The 20,553-nt window shown below is 41.1% G+C and overlaps 1 pseudogene, besides 3 other annotated features; it reads right to left on the bottom strand.

Annotated features, from left to right (window-relative positions):
• QRSL1P2 (QRSL1 pseudogene 2) lies at nt 1,011-2,013 on the bottom strand (annotated as a pseudogene).
• Nucleotides 3,250-4,449: an enhancer, noted in NCBI's record as "CDK7 strongly-dependent group 2 enhancer chr1:222437375-222438574 (GRCh37/hg19 assembly coordinates)". NCBI's record gives its function as "activates an origin of replication core promoter dependent on BRD2, BRD4, P300/CBP, MED14 and CDK7 cofactors, with strong dependence on CDK7, by STARR-seq in HCT116 cells {active_cell/tissue: HCT116}" and the evidence as "EXISTENCE:reporter gene assay evidence [ECO:0000049][PMID:35650434]".
• Nucleotides 5,596-6,138: an enhancer, noted in NCBI's record as "NANOG hESC enhancer chr1:222439721-222440263 (GRCh37/hg19 assembly coordinates)". NCBI's record gives its function as "activates a minimal SCP1, AML or CMV promoter by ChIP-STARR-seq in naive H9 embryonic stem cells {active_cell/tissue: H9 hESC(naive)}" and the evidence as "EXISTENCE:reporter gene assay evidence [ECO:0000049][PMID:30033119]".
• Nucleotides 17,011-17,211: a silencer, noted in NCBI's record as "peak714 fragment used in MPRA reporter construct". NCBI's record gives its function as "represses an SCP1 promoter by STARR-seq MPRAs in K562 erythroleukemia cells {active_cell/tissue: K562}" and the evidence as "EXISTENCE:reporter gene assay evidence [ECO:0000049][PMID:32103011]".

The raw sequence follows: 20,553 nt of genomic DNA on the forward strand, positions 1-20,553 counted from the left end.
AAGGGAAGAGATGCAAGAAAACTTTGGGAATGATGAAGATGTTCATTATCTTGATTGTGATAATGAGTACCCAATTACATACACACATCAAAACTTATCAAATTTTATGCTTTAAATATGTACATTTAAGTTATACCAACTACACCTCAATAAAGCTGTTTTTAAAAGTAAGGCAAGCTACAATTTTTACTTAGCTTCAAAAAAATTAAGCTAATTTTTTACCTAAAGCAAATAAACAAACAAAAAACACTGCCATTTAAGCACTGAGTGTTATAGAACACAAAATTTCACTGAGACACAGACATAAAGCAGAGAAAAATCCAACACTACCTATCATTTGTTAGCAAATATAAATCATTTGGGGAAACTCTGGATATTGTACACATCACATTTCACTCTCTACCTTCAGTTCCATCTTGGACATTCTCTGTGTACGTTAGTATGCAAAAGACTCCACAGGTCTTGAGGAAGGAAACTTACTTGACTGGCCCAGGCCCCTTTTCCCTAGATAACTATTAGTATTCCATAGAAGTAGCATCCATGGGTACAATTTAGAAAACAATTTTATAGACTGTAGGTGTTAGCAGACATCAAGTTAAGGGCAATAGGCATAGCAAGGAAAAGAGGGATTACTTCCAGCCCTAATATTGTATTAATCTGTGACACTCAAAATTTGGACTACTAAGCTAGACCCAAGTCAAGATCAAAATACATGCTAGAAACACTCTCAGATCATTTTAATTACATTTTAAATGTTACAAAAAGGGAAGAAAATAAAAAGAGATAATAAAGCCCAAGGTCAATAGACAGTTTGACTTTGCTTCTTACAGGTTTTATCATATTCTATCCTTGACAAATTTCTCTATTATCTTAGCTGTGAATTAACCGCTATGCTTTGCAGACTAAGTTAATCCTTCTGTAAATTTTACATCTTTATGGTTCCATGTCTAAGAGGATAACCATCACCAAGTTAAAAATGCAAGCAATAATTTCTTTTTTTTTTAGAATCTCTAAAAGTCATTTTAATTTGCATGATATATTTCTCTCCACTGTTTTAAAGAGACAGAGGCTAGCTTTTCATTTTCAAGGATTGATGAACAATCATCCATGAGTTCTTGAAGTTGAATAACAGAAAACTGTACTTGTTTTTCAAATCATTTGGCTACTGTAAGAAGCTTCTGGTCACAAAATGCACATTCAGTAAGCTACCGTCCTATTGGCAACCCTTGGTTTGAAAGTGCAACAGGAATACTCACTGTTGGCAATCCTGCCATGTTTACAGCCTGTGTGAAACTATCATCCTGGGCACTTCTTGCTGTGTTGTCTTCTTTGATGAATTCCAAGTATAGTATTGCCTCACTCAAGGTGGTGGGAGTTAGCAAGACATCAACTCCAGAGTTAAAAGCATTCACAAAATCATTATCAATGAGGTATCTCACCTTCTGTGCTTTGATGAAATAATTTTCATAGTTTTTTTTAACAAGAAAAAGTTTCCTGAGAGAATTCTTCCTCTCACCACATCATTGAATCCTTCTTGTCTGGTTGCAGCATACGTGGCTTCAGTGGACACATCAATGTCACATCTGTGACCATATCATAGCCCATCAAATCTTGCCATATTTGATGCCACTTCCAGTGTGCACAATACATGGTAGCAGACAACTGAATAACTGGTGTGAGGAAGGGATGCTTCAATTACTTTGGCCCTCACAGACTCAAAGAGGTCAGCAGCTTTGGACTAAAGAGATTGTACTTCACTGATAATTATGGTACAAGATTTTTTTTGGAATTCCTATACATAGTTTGTTTACATCTGTCAAACTGGGAAGTATGAATGGTTTAACAGGATCTTGTACTGTGGTAGAATCCTTGAGGTCATGTCCAGCCAGTACACCCAACACAACTGCTGCATCATCCACACATCTGGTTAAGATACCTGGCAGATCCATCAAATTCACCAGGGGAATGAGACCATGACGGGAAAGTAAGCCATAGCTTGGTTTGAAACCAACAGGTTTAATTTTCCTCAGATCTATATTCCTATACTCCTATTACAGTCCATGACACATTGCATTATAACTATTTGTTAATGTATCTGTCTTCTTTCCTCCTGAAGGCAGACACTGTCTTATTCAACACTCAATAAATGTCTTTTAAATTGAATTATCATCATAAATAATGTATTAATGGTTTTCCTCAAAGCACACACACACACTCTATCTCCCACACACACACAGAGAGAGGGAGCAGGAGTGGGGAGAGAGAAGGAGAGAGAGAGAGAGAGAGTGAGAGGGAGAGAGACAGAGAGAGAGAGAGAGAAACTTAGGAGGAGCTATAAGAGAAGGTTACAGTTTTAGCTCTTGCCTTTTCATGGATTACAACCTAAGACAGATAATAAAGAAAGACATGGGTGATCACAGTAAACTTCCATAGGATACACCTGAAAAGGAGGCAGTCAATCAGCCGATAAGATGGTAAATAAACCAGGACTTTTGCCTGCAGCAGTTGAAGCAAAAACCGTAGTACAAAAAAAATTACATTGGCTCATAGACCTAGAAAACCCAAGAAATGTATCTGACTAAAGGCACAGCTAAACCCAGGGTTTCAGATTATACTGCTTGGATATCTAATACCCATTTGAAGCCTAACATGTCAAAAACCTGAGCTTCTTCTAATCGTCCTCCCAAATCCACTCCCCATTGTGCCTTCTGCGTCTCAGGAAATGGCAGCTCCATTGCCTCAGTTATTCAGGCCAGGAACCCTAGAGTCAATCTTGTTCCCTCTCTTTCTCTTACTCTCCACATCTAATCCTTCATCATACTGCAGGCTCCACCTTCAAAATACATCCTGAATGCAGTCTTCTTACTACATCTCCTAAACCAAATCATCCCTCACCTAAATAATTATAACATCCTTTGCCTTCCTAGAGGCGCTTTTCAACATAGACCAGAAAGACAGTTTAAAGTAAGTCAGATCATGTCTCCTCTTTGCAAAATCCTCCATTGCCTTCTCATCTCTCTCCACATAAAAGCCAAAATCCTTACAATGGCCTCCAAGGCCCCACGCTATAGGCTTCCCTCCCCTCTCATCATCACTTCCTCATCTTCCCCTCACTCTGCCCCAGCCATACTGGTCTCCTTGCTCTTCTCTTACTCAAACACACTGAGCATGTTCTCATTCTGAGGCCTTTGCATCTGTTCTTCCCTTTGTCCAAATATGCACTTCCTGCAGATGTCTGCATAGCTCACACTCTCATATCCTTCAGATCTTTCCGTAACATCACTTTCTCAGAGAGGCCCTCCCAAGCTGTTCTTTCTAAACCACAACAATCCCCACCACCCAATTCTCTATAGTCCTTCCTCATGGTTTATCTCCACAGCACTTATCAAACATGCTACCTAATGTACTGAATTGTGTTTATTGTCTGTCTCTCCTTGCTAGAATGTAAATTCCTTTCTCCATTGGTAGATACCCATGTGTTCCAGGAAGAGATGATGGACAGTTGCTCCTTTTCCACTTGTCTGCATTGAACTATGTCACCTGGACCTGAAGTCTTATAGAGTTTCTTATCAAAATACGATTCTTTCTTTCAGCTTTTTCCAGTGTTCCCTTTTCCACTAGTCCTGGAGCCAGCATGTAGAACAAGACACCATCCTGTCCCCAGCTGGGACCATATAATATCCATCCTCCCTGCTTTGATAACAGAACTCCCGAGTTTCAGCTGGCAGCCTATGTGGCCATGCGCATAAACTCTGAACAACAGAATGTAAGAAGAAATGATGTGTGCCACCTATGAGTTGTACCCCTGAAAAGAAATGTGTAAGTACTTCCCTGACCCTTTCTCTTTTATTTCCCTGTTGCTGGTGAAATAATAAGAATTATCATCTGCCTTGGACTCTGAGGTGGAAGCTCTGCATGGAGGACTCCACTGACACCCTGGCAGCCCTGGACCACCTCCTCCTGTACAGTCATACAAGGAAGAGAGAAACTTCTATCTCAGTTAAGCCATTATATCTTGAAGTTTATTTGTTATAGCAGCCTGGCTAATACCCTAATACAAAAATTACACTGAGAATGTCTTTCTTGCCTTTGGGTATTTTGGGAGCAAAGGAAAATAACTTGGAGTTGAGGAAAGGGAGTAGAAGAGAAATTAAGAACTACTCAGTTCTGACCCAATTCTGCCACAGAAGGCTGGGGCTTCTCACATCATAAAACATTAGAGCTCCTACTTGTACTGATATGAAATAACCTCAAGAAAAATTGCTGATATGCTATTGTTAGCTAATTTTTAAAGGTTTATATATATGCAAGCGTTCTAAATGTAGACTATTTCTGGAAGAATACCAACAAATTTCTTAGGTGGCTGCCTCTGGAGATGGGGACTGAAGGACAGGAAGACAGCGTTGGAGGAAAAGAACTCGCTTTTGGATGCTTTCTGAATGTTATTTCATGTGTAACTATAAAAAAATAGTAACATTTAAACCTTAAGAAGTCAACAACCTAAAACTAATTTTTAGAGAGGATTAAAATCTCAGCTATTAACCCTTTATCTCATATGAATGATTTTCACCCTTTTTCGGTGACCATAGCTCACAGTGGCACAATGAGAAAAAAATGTCGCATTTTTGAAGGCCATTGTTATCAACGGATGTGAAAGCAAACTTCCTTTTGGACATAAGTATGCATAGCTTTCAAATGGCACAAGAAAAATCAGATCTTTCCTCAATGTATTTTTTCGTTTGTTTCCAGTGGAAGCAGAAATCAGCAGCAGCCTAGCATCCTTGAAACTTTCCCTCGTTTCCCCCAACACCATCATCATTTTATAAAGGTCATCCCACAATGAACGGGTTGCCAAGTCAGGGTGAAGGCAGCTCCGCGACGGCCCTCATTACGCTGATCTGTGCTGTCTTCCATCCCCTCATCAGCAGCAAAGTCAATATTTCATCTGGGAGCTAAAATTAAGTCATCACCCCTCCTGTGAGCAACACTACTCCTGAAATAAAAATTTTACAACATTAGGTTGGAGGAGGATCACTTAGCATTTGAAAACACTTCCCCTGTGACCTTGAGCTTTTATCGCTTGGGAGCCAAAATAAAATCTCTCAGGCAAGATTTATGAATAAATAATTAACCATGAAAATAAAAGCAGCACAGAAAAAGAAGTAGGTCCTTTCCATTTACAGCCAAAGTTGGTGTGTGTGTGTGTGTGTGTGTGTGTGTGTGTGTGTGTGTGTGTGTGACTTTCTCTTTTATGCACATGGTGTTTTCAAGAAAAAAAAAATCCAAGATATAAAAGCCTGACATCACCACAGGAGCCGTAAAACATTCGGACAGATTCTGCATGGCCTGCTTCCTCCATGGGCCTTCCTGGATCCTCAGAAAGTACCCAGGTCACCCAGACACTGAGCAGCAATGACAGCCCTCACTGCTCTCCATCCTCCTGGGGTTGGCTTCTCCCCACCCGACTCGACCCTTCCCAGCAAGAGCAAGGGGTGTTTTCCTAGTGGTCCACCTGCCAGCCAAGGTGGGTCTGAAGGGGAAGTAGCAGGAACTGAGTCCCACAGAGAAGACTCTGGGCTCACACATCCCCCATCTCAGAGCAGGGCTCTCTAAAAGCAGTTCACCCAGTGAAACAAAAATGACGACACTGGGGAACACTCAGCTCAGTTTCAAGGCAACCAGGAAAAATAATCACAAATTAAGAGAGCTCCCTCCCTCCTTTAAATGCAAACTCAGCACGTGGAGGAGGAACGCAGTCCAGTCTTCGGTGCGAACTGCCACAAGCTCTCTCTGAAGAACTGCAAGTGCCTTCCTCTTCCTGAAGTGCTCACCTCCTGGTGAGCTGCCCATCCCAGTTCAAGCAAAGAAAATACTCCCAGCATGAATGAGAGAAATTCAAAGAGAAGAGGCCTTGCTGCCTCCCGGTGAGAAAACCGACTGAGGGGCAAAGAGCCCAGGGATCTCCCTAGCCTGTCCCACGGCTCACAGTCCATGAGGAAGCATAAGAGTCTTGAACTTCATCCTAACGCTGGAAATCTAAACTTTTTCTTTTTCATCTTCAGAGCACCTATTGTTTTTCTTTAGACTGCTCTAACCTGCCTCCCTGCTGACTCATTTTTGTCATGTATTCTGTGAAGAAAGATAATAGACCAAATTATTCTGAAGCATAACTGCCTGTTAAAAGTCAGAAAAAGAACTTGCCCAGCCTCCTGCTCTGTAGCAAGCACGCCTCCGCAGGGTGGACGGGAGGCAGGCCAAGCCTACAGGCTGGTGGAGAGCCCTCTTCCTGCAGATAAAAGTGGCAGAAACACTCCTCCCATCAAAAGAAGTCAAATGAAGGTTAATCTTTTGCATCCCCAATCTTCTCTTCAGAAAGGAGGTTAATTTTAAGAATTCCTCCAGGAGTTGAGTAATCCCTAAGGGTTCTTCTGTCTTCAAGATTCCAGGATTCCCAAGCTTCCTACTTTGCTCAGGAGGTCTTCGGTGACTCTGCATTTCCATGACATTTCCTAACATTAAAGTTCCACCCTGAAGAACCTTAAGAGATAGTATAAACAAAAGCACGTTGTAAACCCTAATGCATGCTACTAATGGCAGTTTGCTTGTGCAAAAAACTGCTCACTCCTGTTTCCCTATATTCCAGAAAAACTTCAGCTGCTATTTACCTTATTCTTAAATCAAGTTGTTTATTTGATTCTTGCCTTCAATATTTTTAAGCAGCTCCATTGAGGTATAATTGGCAAAGAACAAACTGCAAATATTTTAATTATACAATTTGATAAGTTTTAATAAATATAAACACCATGAACAAGCTCTATAATCAAGATAATAAACATATTCATCATTCTTGTTTTCCCAGGCCCTTCTTACAACAATTTAAGAGCAAAATAACATTGTTTCTTACCCTAGACCTAACCATAATTAGCTGTGTGATCTTGAACCTGTTTGCAAGTTTTCATCTTTTCACCTGTTCAAGGAGAGAATTGTATCACATGATCTTCCTAGTCCTCCAAGACAAAGCCTTCTACGAATCTAGGCTTGAAACAAACCTTCAAGGACAGAGGTCACCCATGAATTTCCTTGTTGTTCTTTCTGGCCACAAAATTTATTCTCAAGCTATGGCACTCATGATGATACACATGGCATCATAATATTTATTTTTGTTTCTAAGTAGTTCTACACTGTTGCCTCTATAACAGGACCAGTTTCATGGACCAGTGACCTGTGCAGCCACACAGGGCCCCACCCTCAGAAGGGCCAGGCTGTTGAAGTTCAATGCTCTGCAGTTGCCATCTTGAAGTCCTTAATAATTTTGTCTTTGAATTTGTGGTTAGTAAATGAAGTCTGATGAGGCCATGGAGCTTCAGGCTTGGAGCTTTGACTCACATACGCTCCTATGTCCCACCACCTCCCTATCTGCTTGCCTTTTCGGACGGGATCTCAGCAGTCCACTCCCCAACCCCTGGTGTCCTGGCCCAGGCTGACCTCCTCATTCCTGACCCCATCCCACAACCACTACCACTGTCCACCTGGGGTGGAGACCAAGTTGCATTGACAGGAAGAGGACTGCATTCTACTGTCATTCTTTACCCCAAGGAGAGAGAGGATCAGGGTTAGACACTCACCCCATGGCATCTTGGGACAGGACAAGACAGCATCCATCCTGCACCAGGCTGACAGCACCACTACATGTTTGGTGGGTGACCAGTGGGGAGGGATGTATCATCCACCTCAGTCTAGGTACCAAGCGCATCCAGGCAGGGGTTAGAATGGACAGCCAGCATGTAGGAAGGGGAGATTGACTTTGCCATCCCATCCAGCCCCACATTTTTATTTTGCACTGGGATCCACACAGTATGTGCTTTTTTAAAGCACGTTATGAATATAAATTGCCTGTTGCAGACCAGGAATCAACAAGACAGCCTCCCATCTGTGCCCTTTCAAGAGGTCATGCAGGAAATAACATTGCATAGTGCTAAAAGCAATGAGTATTTGATGATCCTCTGGCCCTTGGTCATCCTGTCACTCAAGGACAGGCAAAGACAGGTGAAGAATCTCCAGCTGGTTTAAAGAAAAGTGTGAAATGGTGTTAGCCAAGCTGGAGCTGAGCTATAGCAAACTCCAGGCTGGATCCTGCCTCTAAATTGCATCTAAGTATATGCTAAGCCCACCTGGTCTGCTCTCAAATGGGGACTCTGCCCCTCCTCTCTGGATATCTCTCCCATCACCTCACTGCTGCCTGAGATGGCTTGGCTCTAACAGAAAATAGCACCTGTATTAGTTTACTAGGGCTGCCATAGTAAAGCACCACAAACTGGGAAGCTTAGAACAGCAGAGCTTAATTGTCTCACAGTTGTAGAGGCTAAAAGTCCAAGATCAAAGTGTCGGCAGGACTGGTTCTGTCTAAGGATTGTGAGGGAGAGTCTGTTCCATGCCTCTCTCCTAGCTTCTGGTGGTCTGCCTACAATCTTTGCCATTCCTTGGATTTTACATGCATCACACTGATCTCTACCTTGATACTGACATAGTGCTGTTCTTCTTCTTATAAAATTTTCCCCTTTTATAAAAGCTAAAGTCATGTTGGATTAGGCATCCACCCTACCCCAGTATGACCTTATTCTAACTGACTAATTATATCTGCAATGACCTTATTTCCAAATAAGGTCACATTCTGAGTTGTTACAGGTTAGGACTACAACATACATTTTGAGATGACACAATTCAACCCATAACAGGAGCCCTGAGTAGACCATCAGAGACAACGTTTCAACAACAATTACTCCTGGGAGTGGAAGCACATTGGCTGGCTCAAAATTCACACTAAGAGTGGGCAAGTTTTGGAGAGGAGAGAAAGCAAAACCTAAAGTCCTTTGGCTTTACAACACAGTTGGGGTATAGAAGAAAAGGTTGGAGGGAGAGAGAAGAAAGGGAAATAAAGTATCCTCACAGAATACAGGCATAAAGAATGTAAAAAAGAGTGACTAAGCCCAAGGACAGGCTTTGCTGGCTCTGGAAAAGGCTCAGTCCTGAGGCTGGAGCATAGTTACCATTCTTAAAAGGTTGCCTATCCCCACTGTGTAACTTTACTGTCATTTTCCTAATGTGGAAACTTAAACCAACACACACACACACCCAATACATGCACGCACACATATATGTGCATGCATACCTACTGTCCTCTCTAACAATGTTCCCTTTGCTGCCACAAAGACCTGTTTCTCTTCCAAAGCGAGTTCTTCCAGAAACTGCTCCTTCATCTCCAACTATGCCCAGAAGAATCAATACCTCTTAAATGTATTAAGCAAAATCCTGCAGCATCTGCAGACCTGGATATCAGAATCCTGCTAAGAAGGAAGAAAATAAGTTGCAATTGCTGCATCTTTCAGAAAAACAGTTATCAATTTAAAGCTTCTTTGAATATACTCCAGCATATTATAATGCACATACAAAATAACAGGTGGGTATTTTAAGTCCTATTAGGAGCCCCTAAATAAGTTATCACCAGTCAATCCCAGCACCTATAATCTCTTCTACAATCTTGCTTTTGTAAACAACATGCTATGGTGTCAGCTGTCTGTAATTGGAAGACAAGGTAATCATATGTTCTCAAGAAAATCCATGCACTTGTTAATGGCCCTAAATGTTGAACAAATTAGCAGACTTTAAAAATTCATTAACACTTCTGTTCTTAATCTATGGATTTGTTCATTTAATAACTGTGAGCTCACAATAAGGATCTATTAGCATATCACATGATATGGGTTGGTTGTGTCCCCACACACATCTCATCTTGAATTCCCATGTGTTGTGGGAGGGACTCAGTGGGAGATAATTGAATCATCGGAGCAGGTCTTTTCTGTGCTGTTCTTGTGATGGTGAATAAGTCTTATGAGATCTGATGGTTTTATAAAGAGGAGTTCCCCTGCACAAGCTCTCTCTCTTTGCCTGTCACCATCCACGTAAGATGTGACTTGCTTCTCCTTACCTTCTGCCATGATTGTGAGGCCTCCCCAGCCATATGGAGCGTAAGTCCATTAATCCTCTTTTTTTGTAAATTGTGTAGTCTTGGGTATGCCTTTATCAGCAGTGTGAAAGCGGACTAATACTCCACAATTACTATTTGGATGATCTGGCCAGGTGATGTATAAGATGGGGTTTTACTTTTCTAAACCTGTGTATGTTGAAATCCTCTGCCAGGGAAATTAACCAAGTCTTGTCCAGAGGTGGAGCAACATGGTTTTGAATGGTCCAGCACTACAGAATAATAATTGGCATAAATAAATACCAAACTCTTTGCATCTTCCCAAATGCTCTAGGAGGTAGGTCCTATCATTTTTCTCATTGTATGGTCTTAAGTCTTGGTCACATCAAGTCAGGGGCCCACCCTCCCCCAGTATGACCTCATCCTAACTTAACTAATTACATCTGAAATGACCCTATTTCTGAATAAGGTCACATTCTGAGTTACTGAAGGTTAGAGCTACAACATATAAATTCTGGGGGTATCCACCTCAACCCATAACAAGGCCCATGAATAGACCATCAGAGACCATGCAGAGCCATGAAGAAACTACAGCTGCAAAGAAGCAGCCAGACTGCTGGACTCCAGAGCAAGGAGCTATATAGAGGAAAAAAAGAAAAAAGAGAACTTGAGAAAAGGGAGAAAACTTGAGAAAGGGAGCTCATATACACTTTTCTTTCATGGTGACAGTGATAGAGAAGGAGAAAGAGGGGAGAAACAGAGTTCCACTCCTTTCCATGGTCAGTATCTTTTAGTTGTTCCTTTTCTCATAGCTTCTAGCCCATTCCTCTGTTTCTGAAATTACAGTTCCATAAGATATTTTGCTTTTATTCCATAATTCCAAACTACCTGACAAGGAGATTCTCAGCCCATAGTAATTGAGGGAATTAGATGCTCTTAAACAGTGGCTGATGTAATAAATATGACAGGCCCAATGTGATGGTCAATGCATGTCTAATGCACTCATTTGCTGAGAATTGCTTGAAATTAGTGGACTTCACAGCAATTAGCATTGTCTATATACACATACACACAAACACCATGGCCAAACATCACAGTAAAGAGATGGCCTCCTAGAGGAAAAAAACAGCAGACCTGTATTATAGTCAAAGCAGACTTCCATTACAAAATACCATACATTGGGTGGCTTAAACAACAGAAATCTATTTCACACAGGCTGGAAGTCTAGAACCAGGATGCCAGCATGGTTGGGTTCTGATGAAGGCACTCTATTTTTTTTTTTCTTTTTTGAGATGGAGTCTCCCTCTGTCGCCCAGGCTGGAGTGCAGTGGCGCAATCTCTGCTCACTGCAACCTCCGCCTCCCGGGTTCAAGCAATTCTCCCATCACAGCCTCTCGAGTAGATGGGACTACAGGCACGCATCACAAGGCACTCTTACTGGTTTGCAGATGGCCTCCATCTCACTGTCCTCACATGGCAGAGAGACAGCAATCTCTCTCTTCTTCTTCTTATAAATCCACCAACCCCATCATGAGGCCCCCACCTTATGACCTCATCTAAACTTAATGTCATCCCAAAGGCCCCATTGCTAAACACCATCACGTGGGGGTTAGTGCTTCAACATATGAATTTTGGGGAGGACACAATTCACTCATTCACTCTGGCCCCCTTAAATTTATGTCCTTCTCACATGTAAAATACATTCCTTCCATCCCAACAGCCCCCAAAATCTTAAGTCATTCTAGCATGAACTCTAAAGATTAAAGTCCAAATACTCATATCAGCAAAATCAAATATGGGTGAGACACATATGTTGCTATGATTCATTCTGAGACAAAATTCCTCCCCTTGTGCAAACCTTTGAAAGCAGACAAGTTACATGCTTCCAAACTATGATGATGGGACAGGCATAGGATGAACATTCCCAATCCAAAAGGGAGAAATAAGAAAGAAGAAAGGAGTAATGGGTCCTAAGAAAGTCTGAAACTTAGCAAGGCAAATTCCAGTAGATCTTAAGGCTCCAGATTAATCCTCTTTGGTTTCAGGCTCTGCCTCATGGACCACTGGGGTGACAATCCCACTTCTGAAGTTCTGTTAGGTGCAGGGTTGCACCCTCAAAGTTCCATGTGGCCCCACTCACAGGATTTTGCAGAGTGGTCCCATTCCCACAGCATTGGTCAGAGGCCATCTAGCCTGTTCAAACCAAGTGGCACCACTGATAATCTCTGAATTGCCTTCTTGAAGAACAGTGCATGTTTTCTTGAAGAGTAGTGCATGTTCACAGCTAAATGGCTCTATGGTCTGGTCTTGTTAAATCAAAGAAGTACAACTGCCTTCCCTAATTTAGTCTCATTTTTTTCTGTTCTCTTTAGTTCATACTGGCAGGGTCTTTGTTGGTATAATCTCATCTCTATTCCTGGATTCTGTTAAAATGGCTAAGTCAATAAGTCATACCCATGATGTCTTTATCAAATGATTGTTCAGCCACATCTTTAATGTTCTCTTCAAAACAAGCTTTTCCATTTTTTGTAATGTGGATAAGCTGAGAATGTTCCAAATCTTTAAATTCTGCTTCCTTTTTGATTAAGAATTTCTTCTTCATTTCATCTCTCTCCTTTAGTATTTTTCTATATGCATTTAGAAGGAACCAAACCACTTCTTCAACACTTTGCTTAGAAATCTGTTTAGCCCACATTTTGCTCACAAATTCTACCTTCCACCAAACACTAGAACGCAGTTCAGCCAAATTATTTGCCACTTTATAAAAAGGATCACCTTTCCTCCAGTTTTCAATATCATGTTCCTAATTTCCATGTACGCCCTAGTCAGAATCACTTTTAACATCTATTTTTCTAGCATACAACTCAAAACTCTTCCAGCCTCTACCTATTAACCAGTTCCAAAGCCGCTTCCACATGTTTAGGTATTTGTTATACCAGCACCCCACTTCTTTGTATCAAAATCTGTATTAGCCTGGATTCTCCAGAAAAACAGAACCAATAGGGTGTAGATGTATAGATAGATCTAGATACAGATATATCTTTCAGTTCTGTTTCTCTAAAAAATCCAGACCAATACAGACATGTCTATAGACATAGACATACACATCATATATAATCCAAATATGTCTATAGATATAGATAGGTATCTAAATCTATCTATATATAACCATATATATAGAACGATTATAACAAACTGACTCACATGATTATGCAGGCTGAGAAGTCCCAAGATCTGCAGCTGACAAGCTGAAGACCCAAGAGAGTCAATGGTATTTCTAGCCCAAGTTAGAAGGCCTGACAACTAGGAAAACCAGTAATGTAAGTCTTCATCTGAGTCTGAATCCGAAAGCAGGAAAAGAGCAATGTTCCAGCTTGAAGAGAGTCAGGCATAGAGAAAGAATTCTGTCTTACTCAGCCTTTTTGTTCTATCCAGGTCTTCCATGGATTGGATGAGGCCCATCCACATTGGGAAGGCAATCTGCTTTGCTGAACCTACTGATTCAAATGCTAATCTCATCCAGAAACAGCCTCACAACACACTCAGAATAATTTTTGACCAAATATCTGAGCACTCCATGGCCCTGCCAAGTCAACACATAAACTTAACCGTTACAGAACCCAAGGAGAATAACACAGCTCTCCAACAGAATGGTTTCTGCCTCTCCACCCTATTCCCTACTGATTCTCTTCCTCAGGACCCTTGCTAAGTGTTCTCTTGACCAGATGAAATGGTAAAGGGTAGGAAGAGCAGGGAAGAATACAGACAGGATGGATGGAACAAGAAGAATTTCTGAATGAGTTTGGGGCCAACCCCCTTTTGAGGTAAAACTTGATTTTGGTAATCTGCCAAATTATAAAGGGGAATTTTAAGTAATCTCCTGTGTTTGGCCTAGACTTGTAGTATATTAAGGCATTAAATTGGATTAAAATTATATATTTAGAATTTTCAAGGAGGTAAGCAGTATCAAGAAGAGACTTTTTTAAAAGAAAGGCTTAATAAGCTCCCGCAACGTTCCTGGCCCTCATCTGATGCCCCAACAGCCCTTTGAGATAGACACTACTATCCCCACATTACAGAAGTAGAAACTAAGGTAAAGGCATGTTCCTGCCACAATGGTGAAACAAGGACTGACCCAGGTAGTTGTCATTCCTGGCCTGCCGTTCTTCACCACCTCACAGAACCTGCCGTCAACTGGCAATGACTCCCCACTCCTTTCTCCACATGTGCACAGCTCTAGAGAACATGTTTCTCTCATCAGGATAAAAAATGAATGAGGGTTTTTAGCACCCGAGCTCTTGAATCAATTAAGGATTTTAATCAGAGATGAGAATTATAAGAAGCTGCCAGTAGACTCATTCCTGGGCAAATCCCCCTGCCCATGCCTCATCACTTCTAATAAGACCATCATAGCACTTTTAACCCTGCACTCCACAGTTAGTGAGGCATTCCTGATTACTCACATCTGTGAGAGAAATCGCCTTATTAGGCCCCGAGCTGATGCTCTTCTATAACTCCTTATATGATTTTACAAATTCTCCAGGACAGGGTATGTCAAGATGAGAGAAAACAGGGAAGCATATTCCATCCTGTGCAGAAGCCATGTAGAAGGCATCATGTTAATACAACTGTAATGAAGCCAGGGGCTATCAGTCATAATTAATAGAGCTGAATGAAAGAGAGGTGGAATATTTTTCAATTTATCTACCGACAAGGAAGGAATCACAGCACATTCCCCCTCCCTGGGGAAATAACTGCAGAAAATAGGGTTGTTTTATGTGGTCAGACTTTACATACATTTTCCCTGTTACAGTCAATTCCCATTTCAAGAATAAGTAGACAGATGTGTAGAGCTTGTTTCATAGAAATAGACCCCAGTATTTTGTTAAGTAACACTGACTAACTGATGAATTATTCCAAATAGTAACCATCTACACTTGACAGGACTGTCTCTCTAGGACACCAAGGGACGCATACTGACACCTGCATTCTTCATCAATATATTTAATTGCTCAATTCTGCTTTGCATAAAGGGGATTCTTCTCTTCTGCACCAGTGTGTGGTTGAGAAAGCTGTCTGGGAGAAAAAAAAAAAAAAAAGAGGCACTCAGGTTTGAATATGTAACTGAGCTCTCCACAACAAACAGCACAATATAATGAGACCCAAGAGAGCCTCCTAGTGCTGTTCCATCCAGGCCCCAATTCCTCAATAATAAATTTCCTTCCCCAAAAAATAGTATTGAACTCTGCAAAACTGTTAATTGCAGCTTGGAATAGGTAAATCTAAGCTTCCACTTTCCAGAGAGCCTTAATATTGGATATTAAACCATAAGAATATGAACATAGCCTGAACACTGCTGGCTACGCACACAGAACACTGTACATAGTAACCTGATGGAGCTTTATGCGGAAATTGTAACTAATTTACACCGCACTGGGTACACATCTTGTTCTCGTTTCATTCCATGCCATCTGCTCCTTTGTCACCACCACCCGTGGCAGGACATCTCCTCAGCTGCTGCCACTGAGCTGGAATTGTGCCCTCCCCCTGTGATCTGCTATCAACAAGCATTTGGCACTCATCCCTGAATCAGATGGGACTCATTTAATCCAAAGGGGCTTGCTGTGTAGTAACACCTTGGCAGGCTCTGCACTGCTGGGGAGAAGCAGACTTGGGAGATTCTTTCACAGCCTCATCAGATCAAAAACATCGTGAAAACCTAGGAAACGGTTGCCCCTCAAAATGTATAAGCCAGCAGTAAAATGAAAACACATCATAGCACTCCCTGACTTCCACCTCCTGTGAGTGCTTTCTTTTGTTGATCTGCACCACACAATGTATTCATTCATTCATTCAATAAACATGTTCGGACACCTCTTCTGGGTTCAAACTCTTAATCTTCACCTTTGACAAGGAGCAGAGAACGAGAAGAGCTCTTTGGACTAGTTCTCACACTCACAAAAGGATTAAAATTTAGACTGGTGAAGTTAACTCCAAATGAAGTTATACATCAGTCCCAGAGGTACACTGAATGATTAAAAGAAGAAACTTATCACCCAGACTTACACTTATATGCAATCACCAGAACGCACCACCTCTAACATGCTATGAATTATAATTAAGCTCTGAACAGAAAAACTATCTTGTGTCTTCATGCTTTACAGCATTAATTTTTTCAATGTACACCTCTAAAATGTACTACAAAAAGTTCAGACATTTGTGTTTTAATACACTGAAAGCCTTTAAAAATGTAAGTGGCCAGGCAGGGTGCCTCGCACCTGTCCCAGCTACTGGGAGGTGGGGATGCTGAGGCAGGAGGGTAACTAGAGGCCAGGACTCCAGACCAGCCTGGGCAACATAGCAAGACCTCATCTCTTAAAAAAATAATAAATTAAATAAAAATAAATAAAATGGAAGTGAATTGGACCCTCTCAATCCCTACAGAAAAGGAAAGAAGAGAAGGGGCTAGACAAGTGAATAGCAATCCATAATACAATCTGTCCACTCAATGCTCTGTATCTTTCTAGAGGCTTTTCTGTTGAGCTAGGGCACCCACTAATGCACTTTCTCCCTTACCTTAATATTCTCCCTTTCCCTGTGTCAAAATATCTTCTGGGGGCTTCTAATGAGAGAGCACACTGAACTAATTTTTTAAAAAAGAATCCTCTCTCAAAATCATGTTAAATGCTCAATAAAATATAACAAATACTTAAATTCAAGGTTAACTTTGAAAGAAAGTAATTCTGGGAATAAAGAGGGAATCAAAGTCAGATAGTCAACGGGAGCTGTACTTTCAGGCCTTTTGTCTGTGCTAAACACTTGGATGAGCATCTCTATGTATAAAACCTTTTTTCAATTTTGTCTGCCTCATCTCCACCCTCAGCTTCCAGGATATATTCGTAGAAGTAATGTTCTTTGTATACATGCTTTGTATCTGTGCATCTTCATAGGCTCTGCTTATGGGCACTTATTTTCTCTACTGTTAGTAAATTTCAATATGTGGATTGCCAAAACAAACCACGCTGTACCACAGCAAAACTGCTTTTTGTAGGTAAATGACCAAGCACTAATATGGCCTTTCCACCAGCTACTGATATCAACAGCAAAGAGCTCACAGCTCTGGGATCCTCTGGCCCGGCAGATATCTCAGTCCAGGCAGACTGCATTGACCAGGTCTCAGTGACAAAGGCAGATGATGATGGGGAGCCCATCCACTCACTTGTATTCTTGATATTCTTGGCTGAACTCATTGTTGGTCCAGTAAGAGTCTTCTTAAACTGAATCTAACTCATTCTTATTTCCAGTCTTACCATCCTTTGTGATCTGACCATGCTCATCAATCACCACCACTTCCCACCAACAGTTATTCTTCAACTCATACCCTAAGTGGCAAAGTTCTCCATCGACCCATTATCCATTTCCCCATCTTCCTCACTAACAGAACCTCAGTCTTGGAACAGCAGTGGACACATCCTTGGATTGCAGTTGGTTTAAGCCAAACACAGCCACCCCATTCCTCAGTTTCTGAGCCTTCTAATGGGTGACCACAGGCTCCAGTTCTAGCCACTTTGATGCAAACAGGATGCAGTTTTGGAAAAACTTTGGGTGTTCTTGATGGAATAGATAGATACAGCTGACAGTTTCTTCTCTTTTCTCCCCTCATGAACATGGATGTGATGCCTGAAGCTATAACAGACAGCTTCAACCAACAGAAGAAAAACCAAAGTTAAGGCAGAAAGGACACATACAAAGAGACTGGATCTTTAACAATGTGGCTGAACTGCTGTTTCCACCCTAAATTGCCAAACTCTAGACTTATTATTTAAGATTATTAAATGTCCTTATTTTTAAGCCACTGTTTTTTGAGTATTCTGGTCAAAACAGCTGAAAGCATTTCCAACTGATAACACCCTTTTAGTTCCTGTATTGCACTGAGAACCACCATGTATGATTCATGGCACCTCCAATATGATGAGTGCCCTGATAGCAACTATCCCAATATGCAACCTCCTGTTTGTTTCATTATATATTATCCATTTCCTTTCTAGAGTGTAAGCTCTATGGGATCTGACTTATTTATTATTGTATTCCCAACATCTAGAAAATTGTCTAATACACAGTAGGCATTCAATAAATAACTATTACTGAATGAGATCAACTGGAAGGAGCACATTGGTACTTGAGCTTAGGGAGGCAGAGGGGAATTAGTGGTGGGTTTGATTGTAATTGAAAGGCCAGCTCTGTGAACACAACATAAGAGAAGTCAATTATGAGAAGTCAGGATTGGCAGGAAACAGTTGAGTTGGGTAATACCAATCTGGCTGTCCAGAGAGCAGAAGGAATCCCCTTTCCCAGACAACAGGGACTCTGAGGAAATCTGGATATCCAACTGACACACTGATCCTTTCTCAAGGTTGGAAGCAGACCAGGATGTCAAACACTCACTGTTGTCATTGTAACCTTGTAGTTCTGATCTTCCCTTGCCAGTGATACCTGCTGTGTTGGGCTCTTTTGTGGCTCTGTGAACTCATTCTGTGCCTGGAGCTCTGAAGTATGTTTAACAGTGTGCTCCCAAAATTCATGTTCACCCAGAACCTCAGAATGTAACCTTATGTGGAAATAGGGTCTTTACAGATATAATTAAGATAAGGACCAAAATGAGATTATATTCGATTAGGGTGGGCCCTAAATCCAATGACAAATGTCATTATTATAAGACACAAAAAATTATAATACTTAGACACGGAGGAGAAGATAGCACAAAGGTGGACACAGACTGGAGTGATGCAGCAATAAGCCAAGAAATACCGGAGATTGTAGGAAGCCACTCGAGCTAGGAAAAGGGAAGGGGGGAATCTTCCTTTGAGACTGTGGAGGGAACATGGCCCTGCTGATACCATGATCTCGAACTTCTGGCTTCCAGAACTGTGAGAGAATAAATTGCTGCTGTGTTAAGCTAGCAAGTTTGTGGTAATTTGTTAAGGCAGCACTTAGGAAATTAATACAGGCTCCCAGGGATTCCATTCTGTTCATCTGTTTGTGTGCTGTTTTTAGAAGTACAGCTGGTTTCTCCCTCTCTGGCAGGGTTAAGTACTCCTCCAGCAGCACTGCTAAGGATGAAAGTAGCATGGGTCTCTTCTCTCCTGAGAAGGGCTTATTCCTTTTCGGACTTTAGTTCAATTAGATTTCTTTGCATCTTCAACTCTCTGATGCATTTTTTTTTCAAGGATTATTTTGAAATGAATCCAGCATTTTTGTTGTTGTTAGGATGAGAGCAACATTCTTTTGTAAATTTCTAAAGCCTAACCACAAACTTGTAAGAAACTTTTTAATTTGTCCTGTCAACTTCAACAAATTTACAAGAAAAAAACAAACAACCCTATTAGAAAGTGGGCAAAGGACATGAACAGACACTTTTCTTTTTTCTTTTTTTTTTTTGAATTTATTATTATTATACTTTAAGTTTTAGGGTACATGTGTACAATGTGCAGGTTAGTTACATATGTATACATGTGCCATGCTGGTGCACTGCACCCACCAACTCGTCATCTAGCATTAGGTATATCTCCCAGTGCTATCCCTCCCCACTCCCCCCACCCCACAACAGTCCCTAGAGTGTGATGTTCCCCTTCCTGTGTCCATGTGTTCTCATTGTTCAATTCCCACCTATGAGTGAGAATATGTGGTGTTTGGTTTTTTGTTCTTGCGATAGTTTACTGAGAATGATGATTTCCAGTTTCATCCATGTCCCTACAAAGGACGTGAACTCATCATTTTTTATGGCTGCATAGTATTCCATGGTGTATATGTGACACATTTTCTTAATCCAGTCTATCATTGTTGGACGCTTGGGTGGATTCCAAGTCTTTGCTATTGTGAATAATGCCGCAATAAACATACATGTGCATGTGTCTTTATAGCAGCATGATTTATAGTCCTTTGGGTATATACCCAGTAATGGGATGGCTGGGTCAAATGGTATTTCTAGTTCTAGATCCCTGAGGAATTGCCACACTGACTTCCACAATGGTTGAACTAGTTTACAGTCCCAGCAACAGTGTAAAAGTGTTCCTATTTCTCCACATCCTCTCCAGCACCTGTTGTTTCCTGACTTTTTAATGATTGCCATTCTAACTGGTGTCAGATGGTATCTCATTGTGGTTTTGATTTGCATTTCTCTGATGGCCAGTGATGCTGAGCATTTCTTCATGTGTTTTTTGGCTGCATAAATGTCTTCTTTTGAGAGGTGTCGAACAGACACTTTTCTAAAGAAGACATACATGCAGCCAACAAGCATACGAAAAGAAGCTCAACATCAATGATCATTAGAGAAACGCAAATCAAAACCCACAATGAAATGCCATCTCACACCAGTCAGAATGGCTAATATTAAAAAATAAAAAAATAACAGATGCTGGTGAAGTTGTGGAGAAAAGGGAACACCTATACACTGTTAGTGGGAGTGTAAATTAGTTCAACCATTGTAGAAGACAGTGTGGCCATTCCTCAAAGATCTACAGACAGAAATAACATTCAACCCAGAAATCCCATTACTAGGTACATACCCAGAG

This window comes from Homo sapiens, chromosome 1 (genome assembly GCF_000001405.40).
Source record: "Homo sapiens chromosome 1, GRCh38.p14 Primary Assembly".
Taxonomy (NCBI): domain Eukaryota; kingdom Metazoa; phylum Chordata; class Mammalia; order Primates; family Hominidae; genus Homo; species Homo sapiens.